Source organism: Homo sapiens, chromosome 7, assembly GCF_000001405.40.
Source record: "Homo sapiens chromosome 7, GRCh38.p14 Primary Assembly".
In the NCBI taxonomy this organism is placed as follows: domain Eukaryota; kingdom Metazoa; phylum Chordata; class Mammalia; order Primates; family Hominidae; genus Homo; species Homo sapiens.
In genome coordinates this window covers 32,259,624-32,283,240 of record NC_000007.14, presented here as the reverse complement: position 1 = coordinate 32,283,240, position 23,617 = coordinate 32,259,624, and the positions used below count along the sequence as shown (strand labels likewise).

General features: G+C 41.3%; 1 protein-coding gene across 8 annotated transcripts in view; it reads left to right on the top strand.

The window, feature by feature from the left end:
- PDE1C (phosphodiesterase 1C) overlaps positions 1 to 23,617 on the top strand; it is an 811,448-nt gene that overhangs the window by 144,984 nt on the left and 642,847 nt on the right. The window lies entirely within an intron of this gene.

Sequence of the window (23,617 nt, the reverse complement as noted above, 5' to 3'; positions counted from 1 at the left end):
ATGTCTTTTCATATGAATATTCTTCTTCATCACAGTTTTTAAGGTATCACGATTGATTTAGCTGGTCCTCTATTGTTGGGTGCTTTAAGTTCTTTCTGCTTTCTTGCTGCCACAAATAACATTACAGTAACTATCATTGTCTCTACATCTTTATAAATCCTTTTTGCCTTAGGAATTGTTGAGTAGAAAGAATTGACTATATTTGACACATTTGAAATGTACATTCTAAACAACTCCCACTCTCCAATGTCTTACCAGTTTGCAATTCCACACGTGAGGTTTGAGGTTTCATGTTGATGTTATGAACATGGGATTTTAACCTTTAAAGAGCCATAACTTGATAAGTAAAAAATGGCATATAGGCCGGGCACAGTGGCTCATGCCTGTAATGTCAGCACTTTGGGAGGCGGAGGTGGGCGGATCACGAGGTTAGGAGATCGAGACCATCCTGGCTAATACGGTGAAACCCCGTCTCTACTAAAAGTACAAAAAATTAGCTGGGCATGGTGGCGGGCGCCTGCAGTCCCAGCTACTCGGGAGGCTGAGGCAGGAGAATGGCGTGAACCCAGGAGGCGGACTTGCAGTGAGCCGAGATCGTGCCATTGCATTCCAGCCTGGGCGACAGAGAGAGACTCCGTCTCAAAAAAAAAAAAAAAAGAAGACATAAAACTGTTCTGTTATTTGACTACTTGTGAGATTGAAACTGTTTTGTTCCTGTGTTAATTGACCATCTATCTATCTATCTATCTATCTATTTTTTTTTTGATGGAGTTTGGCCTTTGTTGCCCAGGCTGGAGTGTGCAATGGCACGATCTCGGCTCACTGCAACCTCCACTTCCTGGGTTCAAGCGATTCTCCTGCCTCAGCCTCCCGAGTAGCTGGGATTGCAGGCAGGTGCCACCACGCCCGGCTAATTTTGTATTTTTAGTAGAGACAGGGTTTCTCCATGTTAGTCAGGCTGGTCTCGAACTCCTGGCCTCAGGAGATCTGCCTGCCTCTGTCTCCCAAAGTGCTGGGATTACAGGTGTGAGCCACCACACCCGGCCGACCATCTATATTTCTTTCTTTCTTTTTTTTTTTTTTATTATACTTTAAGTTCTAGGGTACATGTGCACAACGTGCAGTTTTGTTACATATGTATACATGTGCCGTGTTGGTTTGCTGCACCCATTAACTCACCATTTACATTAGGTATTTCCCCTAATGCTATCTCTCCCCGTCCCCTACCCCATGACAGGCCCCAGTATGTGATGTTCCCTGCCCTGTGTCCAAGTGTTCTCATTGTTCAACTCCCACCTATGCGGGAGAACACGTTCTGTCCTTGCGATAGTTTGCTCAGAATGATGGTTTCCAGCTTCATCCATATTCCTAGAAAGGACATGAACTCATCCTTTTTATGGCTGCATAGTATTCCATGGTGTATATGTGCCACATGTTCTTAATCCAGTCTATCATTGATGGACATTTGGGTTGGTTCCAAGTCTTTGCTATTGTGAATAGTGCCGCAACAAACATACGTGTGCATCTGTATTTCTTTAAAGAGACTCATGCTCTACTGCCTGTGCTAGCTGTGCAACTTATTTCTTTTATAAGTAGCACATTGCTGCCTTTCACTAGTTTTTCTGTTGGGGTATTTCCTTTAGTTTAGTTTTGTTTTGTTATAGGCAAGGTCTCACTCTGTCGCCCAGAGTGTAGTGGTACCACCTTGGCTCACTGCAGCCTTGAACTCCTGGGCTCAAGTGATCCTCCTGCCTCAGCCTCTCAAAGCCCTGGGATTACAGGTGTGAACCACCATACCTGGCCTGACTTCCTTTAATTTATATGAAATTTTTATATATCAAAATTAAAAATAAAAATTAAGGCTATTCAGCCTTTGTGATATTTGTTGCAAATAATTTTCACAGTTTGCAAATAGGCATTTTAGCCTTGTTTATGTTCAGATGTTAAATTTTTAAATAAGCCTATCAGTTTTATTCATTTATAATTCATGTTTAGAAAAACTTCTACATTGAACAGATTTTGAAAATATGCATCAATATTTTCTTCTAGTACTTTATAGTTTTATTTTTATATTTAAATCCTTACTTCATCTAAAATTCATTTTGTAATAAGGTAGAGATTTAATTGTTTTTTCCCTAAATTTACCCATTTTTTTCTGCACTGATTTAAAATATTAATTTAATAATACTAATGTTACACACACATACATATTTGGGTCTGCTTTTGGAATTTCCTCTTTATTTTTAAATTTTTTTAGAGAAAAAGTCTCACTCTGTTGCCCAGTCTGAAGTGTGGTGGCATGATCATAGCTCACGGTAGCCTCAAACTTCTTGGTTCTAGTGATCCTCTTGCCTCAGGCTCCCAAGTAGCTAGGACTATAGGTGTGTACCACCACACTCTGATAATTTTTTGATTTTTGTGGAGACAGTCTTGCTGTGTGGCTCAGGCTGGTCTCGAGTTCCTGGCCTCGAGCAATCCTCCCGCCTCAGCTTCCCAAAGCAACAACTTCGCCCAGGCTATTTTTGCTCATTTTTATTCTTGATGGACTTTTAATTTGCCAGTTTTCATTAGAAAATTTTTAGACTTTTTGATAGGGCTGTAGTCAAGAGCATAACTGCAACTTTCTATGTGGTCCAATTCTAAATCAATTTTTGTACATGTTTCATGGGCGCTGAAAAATAGAGTATGTTTCTGTTTTCATATGTATCGTCAATGTATTTATTAAATTAATTTAATTATGTTGTAATGATATAATGAAGAGTCATTATCCAGATTAGTAATTACATTAATACAATTATTTAGCTTTTTCTCTATTTTTTGGCTGTTTGACCTGATGAAGACAATTTGTTTATTAAAGAATTATCCTAATATAATTTTTTCTTATGAATTTCTTCTTGTATTTCAGTTTTAGCTTTATACATATTTTAGTACACTATAACTTGTTTCATGGAATTTATGAGAATTATATATTCACTATCAATTTTACTGCTTTCCAATATAAAATTATTGGGTAAGTACCACTAAATGGTATTTACCACTGTCTTTCTACAAATTTACAATATCTTGTGTGTATCTCTGTGTGTGAACATATTATATTCTCATTGTTAAAAACTCAACCAGACCAAAGCATTAAAATCTCCCCAAATCTACTTCTGATGTTTTAGTGAATCCCTTTTATATATTCTATTGGGTGTGTGTGCACATGAACACACACATTCACAATTTGCCGTGGGATCATTCTGTGCATGCTGTTGTGATAGTCTACATTTTTTTCCCACTTACAAATATGTCATGGTCACCTTTCTGTTGCAATAAACATAAAGTTGAATAACCATTTTAAATGAAGTTCTCAGTTCAAAATGTTTACACTTTTCATCAGACCAAGAAATTAGGTTTTTGCCCTTATATATTTATTTTACTTTGCTTTAGGTACAGTATTTTGTTTTTTTGACCCGAGTTTATAGTTTCAAAATTTTTAATAGAGGAGATTAATGTAATTGTTATAATTATTATATTTGCTCTTATTTCTGGCATATCAGCATTTTCTACTTGAAAGATGCTATGTTGCTCTTTCCTTTATGTTTTCTTTTTTGGTATATAGATTATATTTTCTTTTAAGTTTTATTTTATTTTTAATTGACAAATAATAGTACATATTTATGGGGTATAATGTCATATTTCAATGCATGTATATATTGTATAATGATCAAATCAGGGTAATTAGCAAATCTTTCACCTCAAACATTGATCCTTTCATTGTGGTTAGAACATTCAGCATCCTCTTGTGTAGCTATTTGAAATATACAATGAATTATTGTTAACCACAATCACCCTACTGTGCAATAGAACACCAGGACTTATTCCTCCTATCTAAGTGCAACTTTGTACCTGTTGACCGACCTTTCCCCATCCTCCCTCCCTGGGCTATATTTTCTTTACCTTTTATCTTTTCTAATGTTTGGAAGACATATATTCTAGTGGTAGTTATTTTTAATTTTTCAAAAATGTTCTTTGATTGGCCTTTTCAGATTGTGAGAGTCACTTGTGAAATGGCACCTCTGGTGATAAAGTGTTGAACACACTCTGTCATCCTTCCTACTTGCTACGCTATGTTAGTGTATTTGATTTTGGCTTTTCTATCTGATCAGTTTTTATATTTGAGTTTGGTTTTTCAAACAGCTTTATTGAGGCATAATTTGCAATAAAATAAATTCCTCTTAAGTATACAATTCAATGATTTTTAGTAAATTTTCAGAATTGTGCCACTCCCACCACTATCTAATTTTAGAACATTTCTCTCACTCCCCAAAGAATCCTCACTCCAGTTTTTATTGAGTCCTCTTTTATATCCAGCTTTCTGCCAATTGTTTATCTTTTAAAACTAGTTTTATTTTTCATTATCGGTTACTTTGTGCCCTTTCTGGACAACAAATTCAAGAAGCTTTCTGGAAGCTCCTGTGTGTCTTAAGAGCTTGTGTATCTGAACATCCCTTTTCAACATGGCAGATACATGAAAAATTACTGGATCATAACTTTTTTCTTCTTCAAAATGCTATAGGCATTGAGACAGCATCGCCTTGGAGCTAGTCCAGCACTGGAGAAGTCTGAAGCCTGACTAATTTTCATATTTGCTAGGCAACCTGGTTTATTTGCCTTGGTGCTTATAGGTTTTTAAATTAAATTTTATTTTAAACTTATCCTTGTAAATAGTTTGTAAGCATGTGAGTAGATGTGAATCTCTTCTAATGGATTTTTCAGAAAACTAAAGGCCCATTTGATCTGCTTATGCAGTTTGTCTTTAGGTGAGGAAGAATTTCTTCTACTGTATCTTTGATTATTACTTTTTTTCCATTTATTCTGAGTTCTCCTTGAGGAACACTCATTTTTCTCATATTGACTTTCCAGTCTTTGTCTTCCACAACTAGAGTCATTTTAATTTCCAGTTCTTTCCCTCTATATTCTACTAGAACTTGGAGAGTCTGTTTTCCACACCACTAAATAGATTTTCTATAGCATCAGTTTGGTTCTAAACCTGTTTCCAATATGTATATTACTTCTGTAATCACATTATCTTCTTGGAATCCTTCCTTCTCTCCTGCATTTTTTTTTTTTTGGCAACTCGTTGTGTTTAATTTCCATCTGCCCGTGTTTCAGCTTCTTTTTTTTTTGCTATATAATCCAATTCCCTTTTCACACTTGTGGCATATTGGTATGCACTGCTCCCAGTCCAGTTTCCTGTTTCCATTAGGACATCACCGGTGTGTCCTGCTCTAATGAAGTGGCACCTTCTATCTCCTCCCACTGCCTGATTCTCTGGTACTCTGAACATGGACAAGCCAATTTCCAGTACGTGTTGTTATTAGGGTTCATCGTGATGGTATATTGCCTTTATCTAAGACAAATGTGTTGTGCTACCATCAAGTCTCTTCTTACCCACATTAGTGTTATATTTTCTAGAATTTGTGGTTTCTGCTTAGATTTGGAAGAGGTGGAGATAGAGTTAGGGATGAGGATAGGAGAACAGACATGAAGCTGAGGAATGAAAGAGGAGGTTTGAAGCATCTTTCTCTTTCTTCCTTTTGTCTGGTGACCTCTGTTTTATTCATCGAAGCCAGACTACATCAAGAGCTGAAGTCTCAGCTGCTGGTGTTTTAATTTAGTCCTGTCAGTTGCTCCCAGGTTCTAGTATTAGACTATGATCAATTTTAGTTCTGTTATTATTTTTAAAAATCTTTTTCTATGTTTTTGTTGCCATTTATCAGAAGTATCTGCTTTAGGATTTGTGGCTTTATACCATTTTGGGCCAGATCCATCATATCTCATTTTACAAAGCTTCTGTAAAAATTTCTAAATGCCCATTGGCAATTTGAGAAGACTTAATAAAAGTGGGTTTATAGAAGATTAAAGAAACTATTCATGTATGAGTAGTGTCATATGTTGCTTATTGTTGGAAAACTTAGCATGCATACAGATTTTTTTGTTTTTGTTTTTTGAGGCAGGGTCTTGCTCCATCACCCAGGCTAGAGTGCAGTGGCATGATCATGGCTCAAGCCCATCACGACCTCCCAAGCTCAGGTGATTCTCCCACTTCAGCCTCCTGGATAGCTAGGACCGCAGGTGTGCACAACCATGCCTGGCTAATTTTTGTATTTTTTGTAGAGATGGGGTTTTGCCATGTTGTCCAGGCTGGTAACTCCTGGGCTCAAGCGATCTGCCTGCTTTAGTCTCCCAAAGTGCTGGGATTACAGGCATGAGCCACTGTGCCTGTGCTGCATGCAGCTTTTGCGTGATATGGGGTATAGGGATTTTTTCCCCCTTATGAATGAGTCTAAGAACAGAGTAGTACACAACTGTCTCATAAAAGCCAGGATTTTGTTCTTTCTGTCTTATAAAAACCTTAATTTCCAGTTATTTCTCCAGTTGGTGGTAGTAGTGATCATAGTAACAGTAACTGATATGTATTGAGTGGTTCTTGTGGACCGGGTGCTATGTCACACCTTCACAGGCTCATTTAATCCTCACAACATCCCTGTGAGATAGTTATTATTATTATTATTATTTCCATGGAAAAGATTAAACAACTTTCTTAAGATCACAGAGCTCACAAGTGGCGAGCCAGGGTTGGAATCCAAGCTCTGTGGTTTCAGAGCTGCAACACCTGATCATCACGCAGAACAGTCTTGCAAAGAGCTGCCTTTCTTGCAGTCACCCAGCCCCACTCCTAGATCCTCAGGTTCCATTCAATCTCTAAACTATAGGATTTAATCAAACTGTTTGATCTTGGGTTGAAATGCCTCTTATTTGTGCTAACATGAGAGCTGAAGGAGATGTTGTATGTTTGGGAAGTTTAAACGTTTTTTTCTTCCTTGTTTTCTGAGTCATGATTACATACCAATTAATATCTAGGTAGGAAGAAATGCACACTCATTCAAATCCTGTTTATGCTTGTTTTTGTCACTTCTAATACCTATTTCTTCTCTTTGCCTCAGTTTGCTTTGTTGTAAAATTGGGCTGACAAATAGTACCTATTTCTTAGAGTTATAGTGAAAATTAAAGAGCTAATACATGTTAAGTATTTATAGCAGTGCTTGGTATATGGTAAATAATCAACAAAAATAGTTATTGTTGATATTATCAGGAATAGTATTGTAATACAATTTTCTGCTTACACTATGGCCATTTATACCCAAAGTAAATGAAAATATGTTTGCATTTTCATAAATTGGATATTGAGTTTTATCTATCTTGCAGTTCATAATTAAAGTATGCCAACTCGATAAGCTGGTATCTACAGTTACAGGGTCATACTAAGTGAGCATGCTTCTGTATTATGTCATCCTGTTAATGAATTTTCTGGATGTTTTCAGCAATGGGAATGATATCTTGTCTTAGACATTCAGTTAAACAGAAGAACAAGTGATTCATCAACTCTGTGTGGTCGTGGGGTTTGGGAGTGTGTGCATAAATGAACCACAAGGGGAACTACACATTCACTTAATTTCATTGCCCTTGTGCAACCACAACCCATTTCCAGGACCTGTTTGCAGGTGCAACCTGAAAGACTTAAGGCTTTTTTTTTTTGGTTTTATTTTTTTTTCCCTGATGTTCCTGCTAACTTTCAGGTAGGGGAGGTCTTAGACAGAGGCTGGATATGGAAAGGAGGTGGAGCTGTTTTCCTGCTGCTGGTATTTGTTTGATGTCAAACTCTTCCCTAAAATGTGCTTTTATGTTCACTGGCTTCTCACTTTTTGTTCAGCAAGATTTACTGAGAAAGTGCAAAGTATAGGCCATGGAGAGAGTGGTCACTGGTGTGAGTGACTATGCAGGTGATGTGCCTACAAGCTCATCAGGAGCCTGCTTGGCTCATCAGGGCCACTGATGTCAGTAGGGGCTGGGTGTGGGCATCCTGCAGAGAAGTTTTTATTCAGAAGTTTTTTTTTTTCCTCATTAGCTTGGAAATACATGTCAAAGTGTTCGAGGTCTTATCTGATGACATGTGTGAGCTTAGTTTCTTTGCTAGCAGTAGAAAAGGCATCTATATAAAAGAGAACATTTTTACATAGAACTGCAGCATCTTTAGGGGAAGCCCCTGTAGATTTTGGGTAAAAAGTTCTGGGTTTTAGTCCTAGATATGCAACCCTAACTGTGTGACTTCAAGCAATAATCTCTCCAATCAGGACCTAAATTCTTTATTTATAAAAAAGAGGAAATTTAATTTGATCAGTGTGTTCTAGATGGTTCTGCAGAAACTTAGCGACTTGTAGAGTTGCTTTAGAAATTGGGCAAACATTTGATTCAAACATCAGTCATGAAATATATTTGTACTTAAAAACATTATATGCATGTCCTTGTTTTATGAACCATATCAATTTTCTTAAGCACGTTAGCAAATTGTAAACACGTTAATTTATGTTGCAGGATGAGCTATTTTTCTGATTCATCTTGGAATAAAGCTTCTCCTATGATTTCAGTTTCTTTGAAAAGTATCCTGAGATTGCAGGGTGAGTGGTGAAGCTCATCCCTACTTTCAAGTTTGTCCCTACTTACCAATCAGAAGTTTCTCGATTCTGTGTAACTAACACACATCAGAGAAATACAATGGATGCTGAAGCTGATCTAGTCATAACAGTCCTTAAACCCTGATTTAAAATTTTTCACATCCAACAAACCATCTAATTGGTCTCACAGACCCACTTCATAATATGAAAGTTTTCACTTGAAAAATAAACTATCTATTAGGTGCGGTGGCTCACACTTGTAATCGCAGCATTTTGGGAGGCTGAGGTGGGAGGATCCCTTGAACCTAGGAGTTGAGACCAGCCTGGGCAACATATGGAGAACCTATTTCTTAAGAAAAAAAAAAAAAAAGGCCAGACATGCTGGTGCACACCTGTGGTCCCAGCTACTGGGGAGGCTGAAGTAGGAGGATCATTTGAGCTCAGGAGTTCAAGGCTGCAGTGAGCTGTGATCATGCCACTGCACTCTAGCTTAGCTGACAGAGCAAGAGCCCGTCTCAAAAAAAAAAAAAAAATTAAAAAACTATCCTAAATAAATGCCATTATATCCATATTGGGGTTCTGTGTAAAATTTCATTTGAATGAAATGTTCTACTGCTAAAAATGTTTGAGAGGTTATACTAGATGTTTCTAAGACCCCTTCTAGTTCTAGAACTCTCTTAAGATTTAACTATCTTCAAGCTTTCCTGCTGTCCTCTGGTGTATGTTTCTGCCCAAGCAATCCTCCATTCTCCACTTTTGTAATGAGAATGACACTCAAGTCATGCTTTGAGATCTCTGGAAAAGATGCAGCAGCGAGATTGTTATTCTAACTGCATTGTTCTCAGGAACCCAACAAGGTAGGGGAACAATTTAACCTCAAGCACAATTTAAAAATCATCAGTGTTTTTAAATTTAAAACACTTTTACATTTGATTTCTCTGAACGAGGCTGCCACATTTATGGTGTTGACACAACTGATTTTGGTGATGAGTCAGTTGGCATCATGCTGACTATAGACACACCTATAGCTGCGGTACCCCCACAAATCGGTGTACAAGTCTTTGAAGGCAAAATTCAAACTTTACCCTCTGGTTCTCATGGACCTCCTCTTCTGAAAACCCCCATGCTCATCTGTCCTGCCACCTGAGCCCTGAAGTGAATACTGTCTCCCTAACAAACAAATGCAAGGAACCATGAAGGAAGTCCAGTGGGGTCTGAAATTGAGTTCCAGTTCCCCTTACTGTGATAACCCTATGTCTACTGTGGCTAAAGAAATAGTGGGATGACTGTCCTTTGGGGTAGCCCAGCCATACTTTTACTTCAGAAGTGCTGTAATTACAGGAAGTTCTTGGTTTATGTTAATACATTTGCTCAAAGCACAGGACCAAGACTTTTTCAATTCATTTTAATGGACATCTTTGCTTTTCTCTAATATGCTTTGCAAAATGCTGGCTGCCTATTTCCCTGGTTCAGGGGACTGATATGAGAGGCTGAACACTACTGTCTTCCCTCTCACCGGGGCACTCTTTGTCCTATGTCTGTCATTGTGAAGATTGTAACTACTCTTCTTTTTTGTAACTAATATTATTTGAGTGCTGTGCTAGAAGTCACCTCCCGGGTATGCCCTAGCTGAAATAGATTTCTTCATCACCAGTAGCTAGAGCACTTCTTTAACAACCTGAAACACCGTCACCTCCATCTCCATTTCAAAGCCAGTGCTATAGAGGTTGATAATTATTCCATACCCCGTATCATAGGGTTAACTAAGCATATGGTAGATGCTTAATAAATACTTGTTAATATTATAGTATAGACCCATTTCTTTTTGCTCAATGCATTCTTTTCCTTTGTCACATTCAATATTTATACACAATAAGAATAGCTCTGCAATTCTCAGCTTTTGTTTTCCAGTTCATTGCTTAATGGTGGCAATATGGCTGCCTCAGCAGTTATTTCCTCAAATCTCATTGACTAGAACTGGGTCACATGCACACTCCTAAATCAATCACTGGCTTAGTGGAAGGGGGTGTCACTATTGAGTTAGAACAATCGTTAAGTCATTTCATGGGACTGGGTCCATTGCACCCAAACATAGAATTCTGTTTGCTAGTCTTTGAAGGGAGAATGGCTGTTGATTAGATAGCCAAGAGTGACACGGGCAACTTAATTTTTAATATTTTGCTGGTCAAAAGTCAAAGTTTTTACAGCGTAATAAATCTCACTGAAGGCAATAAACATTGGCTTTGAGACTCTATTGATTTGTGCAAATGAATGTTTAGAGTTTCCAGAATTCACTTAAGTGGGAGAACGACATCTTCATTAGTTCAATGAGACGTCACTTTTTTTCTGAAATTCCCTTGTGGGACAAATGGATATATATGTACATGATCTAGTCTGGTAGGATGGTTGGAATGTTTGTCCTAGACGTTTGAGGATTTAATCATTTCTTAGGCCAGCTGCATTTCCCAGCACAGGCCAGTCAAGCTGGGTTGCAAGGGCTACCACTGAGTCTGGGCCTCAGCCTGTTGGCTGTGCCTCCTCACTATTCACTGCGGGCCCCATTGCAGTTTCACCCTCCTGATTAGTTTTCATTTCTCTGGCTGATCACACAAGGCATCTTAAGATTCAAGGTCTACAGGTGCTACACTGTCCAATCTACCGACCCAAGTTAATGAGCTTCTTCATTTCTCAGGCAACGTCCTTCCAAGGCTGAGCTGCTGCTGCAAAGAACAAGTGAGACAAAGTGGAGGTGACTTATTGGCATTTGTTGTAACTAACCCAATGGCAGAAAAAACGGGTTGCAACACCCCAGGAGTTCCTAAGCAAGACAGCCCAGTTTATCTCCCCAAAGTCTTCCCTTCATGGCATCTTCCTGTATTTGCAGCAAAAAGTCCTGCTGCATGTCTCTGTGGATGTTCTCCAAGGTGGAGTAGAGAGATCACAAGGCTGCCCCTCTGGCTCATGTTCATTTTCTTTGCAAACATTTGCCCCATGTGTTATTATTATTATCATAATGTGGAGGCCCTGTTGCTAAGACTGAGAGGGATGGTGCAAAACCTGTAACAGGTGTGTGAACTTCGTCCTGTTTTGTCTGTTTGTCAATAAGTTCTTCTGGGGCTGTGAGTTTTCTACATTTTCACAAGAACGTTACTTAATTTCTACTAACTAATCTGCTACTATATCTTCTTCCAATATAGTAGATTTCCTTCTAGTAAAAACTACCCACTCACAGCATTATTCCTATTTTGGATATGATCGTGTTCCTGGGTTAAATATTCTTATTTTTAAACTTTTTCTCCCCTACACTTCTCTTTAAGAAATGATACCTCTTATTGTTTATCTGTTCTAGAATAGCGTGGCATTACATCTTCATATGAAATTATCTAAAGGAAATAATATGTATCTAATTTAGCACAATAATATGTGCTGAAGTTAAAAAACAAACAAAAAGCAAAACTCTTTCCACTGGCTCCATCCCTGTCAAGTAGATTAGACTGTCCAGAAGACTTGCCCAAGGTGGCTGACATTGTGGAACAATTCTCAAAAGTTATCTGATTTAACCCTCAGCAGAGCCCTGTTTGTTTGTTTGTTGTTGTTGTCGTTTTGAGATAGAGTCTCGCTCTGTCACCCAGGCTGGAGTGCAATGGTGCTATCTCTGCTCACTGCAACCTCTGCCTCCTGGGTTCAAGTGATTCTCCAGCCTCAGCCTCCTGAGTAGCTGGGATTACAGGCTCCCGTCACCATGCCTGGCTAATTTTTTTTTTTTCTTTTTTTAGTAGAGACGGGGTTTCACCATGTTGGTCAGACTGGTCTCAAACTCCTGACCTCAGGTGATCTGCCTGCCTCGGCCTCCCAAAGTGCTGGGATTACAGGCGTGAGCCACTGTGCCTGGTCACAGAGTCCTCTTTGTATGTCCATTTTGCATTGGAGGAAACAGAGGCACAAGGTGGTTAAGCTGCTAAATGGCAAAGCTGGAATTTGCATCTGGATCCCACGTGCTCCAGAGCCCTCTGCACTGTGTATCCTCATGCCCCAAGAGATCCCATCCCCAGATCTCTAGGGTCACAGCATCCAGCCCCTGTCCGTAGGCTTGGGGCGCCTTGGGCCTCTAGGCCAGCCATTATCTTCTTCACTATTCCTAACCAGCTCCTTACACGTAGAGTTTCAACTTGTCCTGTACAAAGTCCTTTCCTCACAGCAAGCCACTGGAAACCAACCTCCTTTTCTAACGGTCTTTGGGGTGCCTTGATGGGTGGAGTGGTCACATTTGAAATTAGCTTGACTTCCTGAGAAGCCTTTTATATTTTTCTATTCTTGACTGATTGTGTATATATATTCTTACACAATCATCTAGAGAAAAAGCATTTTCTTGGGCCTTATAACCTCTTGCAGATTTTTCCTTTTATATCACCCAGTGCTACTTGTTTATTGTAAAAAGAGAAAAAAAAAAAGAAAGAAGGAAAGAAAACACAGTTGCGCCAAAAGAAAAATAAATGAAATCACTCTAAATTTCACCACCTAGAGAGAAATACTGTCGGATTTTGGAGTATATTATTTTAGATTTTTTTTTACAAAGCAAACACTTGCATGTAAAATAGAACTATAATATACATATTATTTTATACTCTGTTTTAAAATCCTTAACTTTTCAATTGGGTGCCCTACTTTTATCACTTAACAATACCACACCTGTAATCCCAGCATTTTGGGAGGCCAAGGTAGGAGAATTGCTTGAGGCCAGGAGTTTGAGACTGGCCTAGTCAACATAGCAAGACCCCATCTCTACAAAAAATAAAAAAAAATTAGCCAGACATGGTGTTGCATGCATGTAGTCCTAGCTACTCGGGAGGTTGAGGTGGAAGGATTCTTTGAGCCCAAGAGTTCAAGCTTGCAGTGAGCTAGGACTACACCATTGCACTCCAGCCTGGGCAACAGAGTGAGATGCTGTCTCTTAAAAAACAAACAGGCCGGGCACGGTGGCTCATGCCTGTAATCCCAGCACTTTGGGAGGCCGAGGCGGACAGATCATGAGGCCAGGAGTTTGAGACCAGCCTGGTTAATATGGTGAAACCCCGTCTCTACTAAAAATACAAAAATTAGATGGGCATGGTGGCATGTGCCTGTAGTCCCAGCTACTCAGAAGGCTAAGGCAGAAGAATCGCTTGAACCCGGGAGGCAGAGGTTGCAGTGAGCCGAGACTGTGCCACTGAACTCTTGCCTGGGTGACAGAGCGAGACTCCATCTAAAAAGAAAAAACCAAAAAACCGAAAAACGAAACAAAACAAAACAAAAACATCAAAAAAATATATCCTACACTCCCTGCCATATGCATATATACAGATTCACATCATCATTTTTAAGAGGTGTACATTATTCCAGTATAAACTTATTACTGGTTATTTTAGCCAAGGTTTTGCTACTCATAAATGTGGTCGGTGGATACTGGTCTCACCTAGAAGCTTGTTAGAAATGCAGCATCTCACCCCCCCTGGCTCAGAATCTGCTGTTTTCACAACATCCTCAGGTGGCTCATGTCACATTAAAGTGTGAGAAGCACTGGTTTAAGGCAGTCTTCATTGAGCAACATTGAGGTTGCTTCCTGTATTTTAACTATAAACAACACTATGGTGAACATTTAGTGGGCATCTTTAAGAAGGCCTCTGTGCTGCTACTGCCACAGCTGTTGTGACAACATGAATTCAGTTTGAGCGACTTGAGTTTTATAGCTCACTGCCTCTTTCAGGTCTCATGGTAAAGACTTTGTAAATTGTGAGAGGTTCTTCTGTATTAGAAGAACTAATAACTTATTATCAGTTATTCTGGTAATAAATTAGCTATCTGGTCCCTTGATCTCTCTTGCCCCCTCCCTGGACAGCATTCAGGAATTCTTTCATATGCATGCATTTGAGGACCCAGGAAGAAAAGGGGTATGGGGATGTAAAGTTCAATGCTATTAGCTAGTGAAAAGAGGCATATTTTTTGGAATGTTACCTATTATCCTAACTGCAGCTAAAAACTATAATAAATTCATTTTTTCCCTTCCAGTGAAAGGCTGGAGCTCAAATCATTGATTTTAAAAACAACCTAATGAATTTCACCGTAGGCAATTTTCCCTCATTTTCTCTTTGAGCCTCTCTGTGGGAGATCAAGCTCATTAGTCTCTATTTTCTATTTTACATTTATTCAGTTAACAAATATTTATTGTGCATCAGCAGCCTTAAATCTCTTTTGGAACAAGGTAAGGTAGAAATAAGTAAGTACAGAGCCCTTACTTTGTCTTTCTTGTGTCTTTATGTGCTATGCTTTATATATATTCAATCCTCCTATCATTCCAGAAAGAAAGGTATCATTAGTCTCATTTTCTAGTAGAGAAACTGAGGCGGGAGATGTGGGTGATTTGCTCACAGCCAAGGGGTCAGTAAGCGATGGGGCCAACACAGCAGTTAAACCCAGGTCTGACTCCAAGTCCTGCCCCTGTAGTCACCAGACCACAATGAGCAAGACACCTTCTTGAGCCTTTTGGAAAATGCAGCAATGAACCATTCAGAAACTTCAAGACTGAACTGAACTTCAATTCCTGACATCAGGACTTAGGCTAAGTATCTTGGAGCTGGGCCTAGGAATGGACCTCCACATTTGGGTTCCAGGCCTGGTGTGACCCGCATGGCTGGTGGGTAACCCCCGACGTTGCCCTATGACCACTGCACCTAGTGGCTGATCCTGTTAGCAGTGCCAGCCTGACTTTTCCTTCACCAAAGATCACGAGTGTCACTTTCAGCACAGTCGTCCTCATTAAGCTTCTCTGAGCCTGTTTCCAATTCCGTAAAATGGGGAGAATAATCCCCAATTCCTAGGAGGGCTGTGATTATCATAAAGAATAATCCCTGTAAAGTGCCTGTATGCTCCATGGATGGAGGGGTCATAACTGTGGTTTGTGTCTGAGGCATGCATGGCCTTGGCTGGACAGAGAAATGAGGCAGTGACTGGGAGAAAAAGAAGTCATTTCTGAGGGGGTTTCATCTCATTGTGATGTTCCATGCCTTCCCTGTCACTGCCAGGGGTGCTAGAGAAGAGACTTACTTTCAGATGGTTGGGGTACTGTCATTTGCTGGGCTGTTAGAGAGAGAGAGAGAGAGAGAGAGAGAGAGAGAGAGAGTGTGTGTGTGTGTGAGAGAGAGAGAAAGAGGCTGCATTTTCTGTAGTTTGAGGGAAAGACCTCACTTCTGCCTTCTTCCAGAAGCCCTCCTTGGCCCCAGTGCTTGATGGGTCACCCCCTTCTACCTGACTCCACTTTCTTCATCTGTTCCTTACGTGGACGTGCCCCCTCTTTTCACTCCACATGTTCTGACTGTTCCCATTCCTTCCGAGGTGTTTGTGCCACCTGTGCGCCACAGATTCCTGGAGACATCTCCCAAACTCCAGAGCCATGGCCTGTGGGACAGCTCCACCCAGTGTCCCTTAGACGTGCTTCCTCTCTGCCCTTAGGTTAAAATCCCCTAACCTCAGCCTGCCAGGGGGCCTTTGCATTCCTTTCTGACCCGGTCTCCTTGCACTCAGCCTTGCTCAGGGTCGGGTCTCTAACGACAGGGAGGGTCATTGGCCAGGGGCCGCCGCTGCTCAGGGCTTTGGGTCGAGGCCCCGCCTATCAGGGCTTGGCCAGGTGGCAGGGAAACTGAGGCAGGCGAGTCCCTGGGACACTCTGAACTCCTCTGACTGCTGACTTTGCTCCCAGACGGCCTTGCTGGACCGTGAGAATGCCGGGTGGTCTAGGGGGCTTCCACCCAATCTTCTCTTCCTCTCCCTCTTCCAGCCTCTCCAGCGCACCCCCCCACCCCGCCCCCGCCACTTTATTTGCAGGCATTGCAGCTCTGAAATCTTTGCACATTTAATCCCATCTTGGCATCTGAGGACCGAGGCTAAGACACTCTTGTTGGAGCTCATTTGCACTCTGTCTTTGCACTGCCCCCTGCCTTGAGTGTTCATCCTCACCGCCAGCTCCAGCTCCTGGTTCAGGTCTCTGTTTAAGGGCCAGAACCTCAGAGAGGCCTGCACTGACCATTCTGTCTGAAGAAGTCCAACCCTTACCCCTGGCCCCAGACCTTATCTATCACATCATGGATTTTAATTCATTCATAGCTTATCTGAATTATTTTTATTTGCCAAACTTGTATTTTGTTGTTTATTCCTCTCCCTCACCCATCAATTAGCATGTAATCGCCGAAGGAAAGGCTTTTTATTTTTTTTTGACGGAGTCTCACTCTGTTGCCAGGCTGGAGTGCAGTGGTGTGATCTCGGCTCACCACAACCTCTGCCTCCCGTGTTCAAGCGATTCTCCTGCCTCAGCCTCCCGACTAGCTGGGACTACAGGACAGGGATTTTGTCCCACTTGTTCTCAACTGGGTTCCAGGGCTTATGGCAGGCTCTCAAAAGGCGATTTCTTTTTTTCTTTTCTTTTTTTTTTGAGACGGAGTCTTGCTCTGTCGCCCAGGCTGGAGTGCAGTGGCGCGATCTCGGCTCACTGCAAGCTGTACCTCCCAGGTTCACGCCATTCTCCTGCCTCAGCTTCCTGAGTAGCTGAGACTACAGGCACCTGCCACCACACCCAGCTAATTTTTTTTTTATTTTTATTTTTAGTAGAGATGGGGTTTCACCATGTTGGCCAGGATGGTCTCGATCTCCTGACCTCATGATCTGCCTGCCTCGGCCTCTCAAAGTGCTGGGATTACAGGCGTGAGCCACCGCGCCCGGCCACCTTTGCTTCTCTTGATCATCTTCCTTGGTATTATTCTCCTTCCCTCTTACCCCCACCTGACCTCCCACCTTGTAGGGGAGGTCTTCCAGATGTTCCCACAAATTCATTAGGAGCTTGTCCAAATACCACCTCTTTCATGCAGCCTTCCCTGATTGCTCCATTGGAAGTGATGTCTTCCTTCTGTGAACATGCGTAATACCAAGTGTTCTTCATTTCTGACAGCTACCAATCTGACACACTGTAAAGCTATTTGGATACGTATATGTCTCTGTTGGTCAGGATTCTTTTGGTTGCAAGTAACAAGGGCTAAACTCAACTGATTTTGGTGAAAAACCTAATTTCTTGACTCATGAAACAGAAAGAAACTAAAAAGTAGCCTAGCTTTGGCATAGTTGGATTTAGTGGCTCAAATTATGCCCTCAACGTTTGTTCCCTGTCTCTCTTTTTCTATCTGTTGGCTCTACTTTCTTTTGTGTTGGCTTTACTCTCAGGCAAACCCTGTCTATATAGTGGCGTCCATTACATTGCCCTTAAAAGAGAAAGAACATTTTTCTCTTCCTGTTATTCCAGCTTTAAGTCTATGACACAGTCCTATTGGCCTGAATTGGATCATGTGCCCATCCTTGAACCAATCACTATGGCTGGGGGACAGTTGGATGCATGCATTGGCCAGGTTTAAATCAGGTGGCCACCCCTGGAGCCGAAGGATAGAGCAGCTTCACTCAAACCTCATCAACTGAGAGAGATTGTATGTGCACTGCCCAAGATTGCTCATTACATGTTAGTAGCATTATAAATATCTGGGCTAAGGGGTAGTGAGACAGCACAAGGTGCTAGTGAAATAAATTCCCTTCCCTTTTGCTACTTTCTTGCTAAGGTTGCTCTCTCTGGAGTGGCCACTCTGTCTGTTTTGTTAACTGCTTGAACCCATTACTACCCTTAATTTTATATTTCTGAGTGAGTTCTATCACAAACTGGACTGTTGCCATTGCTTCTTGGCAAAGCCATCTCAGATTCCAAAGGGAAATGTAATTTGGCTTAAAAGACAATAGAGGACATTGTAGTGTGAAACTGGGGGAACAAAAAAGGATCTGTTTGGGCATTTTGGAAAAGCCTTCTTGAAAAGGAAAGGAGAAGTGCAAGAGGCTCCTCAGTAGAACTTTCGCTAGGCCATATGGTTGGTTGTTTTCTGGCTCCATGATAGGCTCAGACAATGTGGAGGCATGGGACATCTTGATTCATCACTCCAGGACAGATAGAAGAAAGGGTCAATGTGGGCACCGAATCCAGTGAATCTGTTTGGATAATTGCTAGTGGCCTTCATCAGCCACTACTTGAGCATTCCACATGGGCTGCATTCAACCGAAGTTCTGGATGGCACAGAGTATTCCTGCATGATGTCTCCCATCCCAGTGGACACTCAGTTTGATGAATAGACCTAACACTTGGATCCATTTTGGAGAGAACCAGAAGCTAGCCATGAAAATAGCAGAGTGTAAAAGGCATTGGTTTTTAAGTCAGATGGAACTAGGTTTACATTTCGGTGTAGTCGCTTGGTAGATGTGTGACTCTGAGCATATTAACTAATCCCTCAATCTATAAAAGGCAATAAGAATACCTACCTCAAAGAGCGGCCATAAAGGGTCATTGAGATAATGTATATGAAGGGCTTGGCTATATTAATAGTAGGTGCTTGATAAATATTGGGTTCTGTTCCTTCTTTGATAAATACCTATAACATTATCTTGCATAACTCCTCTACTTAAAATCTTCAGCACCTGTCATTGTTTTAGGAATTCTCTATCTAGTGATTCTCAATTGTTTGAAATATAGAGGTACCAGCACCCTAGTGACCTGTAGAGCTTCTACAATCATAATTTTGCATCCATCGTGGTAAAGATCAGATCAGGCAAGAATCATCAATGGATATTCTATCTAAGGGGGTGGGTGGAATTTTCATGAAGGGTAGGATATTTGCATGGCCTTAAAGACTCTTGCAAGGGAGAAAATAAGACAGTGAAATATTGAGGAAAAATCTGACAGTACCTTGACCAGGTGATCAAAATGAGAATTACTTATGAGAGACTGATATTGTGTGCCTCTAGATGTGAGGCCCCAGAAGGAAACATTGTTTATGCTGAGTTCTGGCTGAGAATACAAAACCTCAATCTAATCACAAGGAAACATCAGTCACACATAAAATGAGGAACATTCTCTTATAAAAAAAGTGTTGGGGGGAGGGTGTATTCTTAAAAAAATCTCAATGTCATAAAAGACAAGAATAGGCTGTTGGAAATGCTCCTGATTACATAGGGCTAAAGAGGCATGACAATTAAATGCAATTCCTGACCATAGACTGGATTCTGCCTGGAGAAAAAAATACTATAAAGGACATTATTAGATCAGTTGACAAAACTGGAGTGTGTATGGGAGATTAAAGTACTGTATCAGTGTAAATATAAGAGGTTGATAATTGTAGTATGCTATCTCTATTCTTAGGAAATAGAACCTTAAGTATTTAGGGGTAAAAGGCCATAATGTATGTAACTTATCTTAACATGGTTCAGAAAAATAAATAAAAATTAAATTAAATTTATTCACTACACACACACACACAGACACACAGACACACACACACACCCGCACATGTATATATGCAGGGGGAGGAGGGAGAAGGCAAGGGAGAGAAAAGCCAGTGAGGTAAAATGTTAATAGTAGGTGAATCTGCGTAAAGTGTATATGGATATCGTTTGTACCATTTTTGTTTTTGCAACTTTTTGTAAGTTAGAAATTACTTCCAAAAAAGTTTAAAACAATACATTGTGCTCTTTCTACCTTTCCTGCTCCCAGAGACCTGGGTTAGCAGGGATGTTGGGGTGATGGTCATGAATGGGGTGTGTTGAACACATTCCGGGAGATCCTCATATCACACCAGCTCCACCTGACTGAAAGGAGGAAACTGGACTCTGGTAATCACATTTGATATCTAAATTCATTAATTATAATTCAATGGTAATAAAACCAAGAATCTAAATTTTGTAGAGTCTTGAATGAAATGAACTTTGTAAGTGAGGACTAAAGTGGGAATAGAAGCCTTATGGGGCAAGGAGAGCCTTTAGGTAGAAGGTTTAGCCCCTACACCTAGGCCTTCAAGACATATCATCTGCCTTAATTTTCTAAAAATCAACTTTAATCTTATTCCAAAATACTATCCCCAAAAGTTGTCAGAAAGTTCAAAGAGTTGTTACGGGGGCTCCCCCTTCCCAAAGCTCACAGATGTCCTAGGAATCAGAGCAACACAGAGTGGGAGGGAGGGAAAGAAAACCCCAGCTGTGGCTCACTGGTTTACATTGGGTACCATGGACCTGCATGTCCCAGCTTGGCTCCCTGCAGTAGTGTTGGTGGCTTTGCTGCGTATCTGCCATAGTCAACACACACAGACCCTGTGTGCCAGATGTTCTCCCATGCTGGGGCCTCCTGCAGTCACCCCTGTGAGGTCCTGCCACCACCCTGCTACACGGCAGGCTGCACGGCAGTGCTCCTCAGAGGAACCTGTCTTCAGTTTGGAGTTCTTGCTCTCTGGGGGCTACGTCTCCTTTCTCTCCTTCAAAGGTAATCAGCACCCCCTGTTCCTTCCTCCCAGCACCTGCTCACTCACCAGCATAATTTTTTCATTGAGTTTAAGATTTTACAGAAGATAGGAGGGGGCCACAGACTTAGCTACCTGGTTATTTGCTTAGAATTGGGTATAAAGTGGAGGTGGGAATCACAGAGAACGAAATACAAATTAATGTCAAAAATTATTCTGGCATATAGCTTTTCATCTCCTGTGAATTGTTCAATTTAGAAATTAAAAAACTAAAAAATATTCCCATCCAGTGGGGGTGAATCAGGCAAAGTTCTACCCCTCTACCTGGTTTTTGATGGCTGTTTTTTCACCAGCCACTAGATGTCACATTAAAAAAAAAAAAAAAAAAAAAAAAAATCCCAAAGCAACCCCTGGTGTGAGCCATCCTTCTCAGGGTCAGCACACCATGTTTGTAAATATTTTGCTTTTCAGAATGGAAGGTTCAGGATAATTTTAGCCCATTAGTGTTTTTTCTCCTTAAGAACAATATTTTAAAACTGGTGGCATATTAAAAGAAAAATGTACGAAGTAGTGATATTGAACTGATGCTGAGAGAATGCATTATTTCAAAATGACTTATATCCACCAAAATGTCTGCCTAGCTTTTCTGATTCACATTGTTCTAACTATAACGTTTATAGACACTTCTGGGCAGGTTCAATGTAAAAATCAAAGTTGACTTAATTCCTGGCTTCTGATCTAAGAGGCCAACAGTGAACTCATACATCATTGATGGGAACTTTCTGACTTCTGTCAATCCCACTGTAAATCCCAATGGTTTCACCTTGCCCACTGCCTAGAGAGAACTGATTTATCAAGACGGGGAATTGCAATGGAGAAAGAGTAATTCACGCAGAGCTGGCTGTGCGAGAGACTGGAGTTTTATTATTACTCAAGTCAGTCTCCCTGAGCATTTGAGGATCAGAGTTTTTAAAGATAATTTGGCGGGTAGGGGCTTGGGAAGTGGGGAGTGCTGATTGGTCAGGTTGGAGATGGAATCATAGGGGGTTGAAGTGAGATTTTCTTGCTGTTTTCTGTTCCTGTAGGTGATGGCGGAACTGGTTTGGCTAGATTACTGGTCTGGGTGGTGTCAGCTGATCCATCAAGTGTGGGGGTCTGCAAAATATCTCAAGCACTGATCTTAGGTTTTACAAAAGTGATGTTACCTCCAGGAGCAATTTGGGGAGGTTCAGACTCTTGGAGCCAGAGGCTGCATGACCCCTCAACTGTAGTTTCTTTTCTTTTTTTTTTCTGAGACGAAGTCTCGCTCTGTTGCCCAGGCTGGAGAGCAGTGGTGCGATCTCAGCTCACTGCAACCTCCACCTCCCAGGTTCAAGCAATTCTCCTGCCTCAGCATCCTGAGTAGCTGGGATTACAGGCACCTGCCATCATGCCCAGCTAATTTTTGTATTTTTGTAGAGATGAGGTTTCACCATGTTGTCTTGAACTCCTGACCTCAGGTGATCCACCCACCTGGGCCTCCCAAAGTGCTGGGATTACAGGCATGAGCCACTGTGCCCGGCCAATTTCTAATCTTGTAGCTAATTTGTTAGTCTTGCAAAGGCAGACTGGTCCCCAGGCAAGAAGGGGGTCTTTTCGGGAAAGGGCTGTTATAAATTTTGTTTCAGAGTCAAACCATGAACTGAATTCCTTCCCAAAGTTAGTTCGGCCTATGCCCAGGAATGAACAAGGACAGCTTAAGGGTTAGAGGCAAGATAGATTTGGTTAGTTCTGATTTCTTTCACTGTCATAATTTCCTCAGTTATAATTTTGCAAAGTTGGTTTCACCACAGGGGCGAGGAAGGCGAGATCGCTCCACAGAGAAAACCCACAGAGGGCTGCCCTCCATGGACTGACCCCTCTGCTCATGAAACAAAGAATCAAAGTGAACAAATTTGAGGGCCATGTTTCACGGGGGCCTTTTCTGTGCCAGATGTTTCACACATACGTCATCTCACAGTGCTCAGGGCAGTCGTGAATACTAGAAATAATTACACATTCCTATTTTGCAAAAGTGAAAACTGAGAAAAGTTGAATAAGGTTTCCAGGGTCACAGAGCTGAGTGGTGGAGCCAGGCTTCAAGGCCTCTCCACTGTTGACTGATTTGCTCATTGACTTTTGGTGGGACTGCGTTCAGATAGTGCTCTTCACTTCATTGCCTCCCTCTGTGACTTTAACTCTCATTTTCGTAGACTTTCTGCTTTGAGTCAGAACCTGAAGCCAAAACCCTAAACACTGAAGTCTCCTCTGGTCAGGTGACCCCTATCAGTCCGCCTGGAAACAGGAAGAGCCTCGTAGCAGCCCTCTAGAGACTGGTTGGGCCCGGTCCTCAGAGTCTGATGACACCTGTTTGGGAACAGCCCAGTGTTTAGGTGGGACGAAGAATTTCTGGGCACCAAGCCATGGCTGGGTGAGAGAAAGGACCTGCTGCAGGTTTGTGCCGGGTGTTTACCTCATGTCACTTGATGGGTTCCTGTAGCTGGAGGTTTTGAGAAGTGAATGTGCAAAGTAAACCCATTCATCACCTGCTTGGGGGCAGGAGGGGCTCGTGGGGGTGACAGGTGGCCTCTGTGGGCAGTGTTCTCTTACTCCAGACTAATTGGGTCCATTTTGGCTTCTTTAGCAACATCATAGGGTAGAAAAATGATGACGTTAGCTCAAGGAATTTCTCTGGGGCTGGATGAGGAGAACAAATACAATCCTTCCTTAAGAGAAGTGATTTGTTTTGTTTCACTCCTT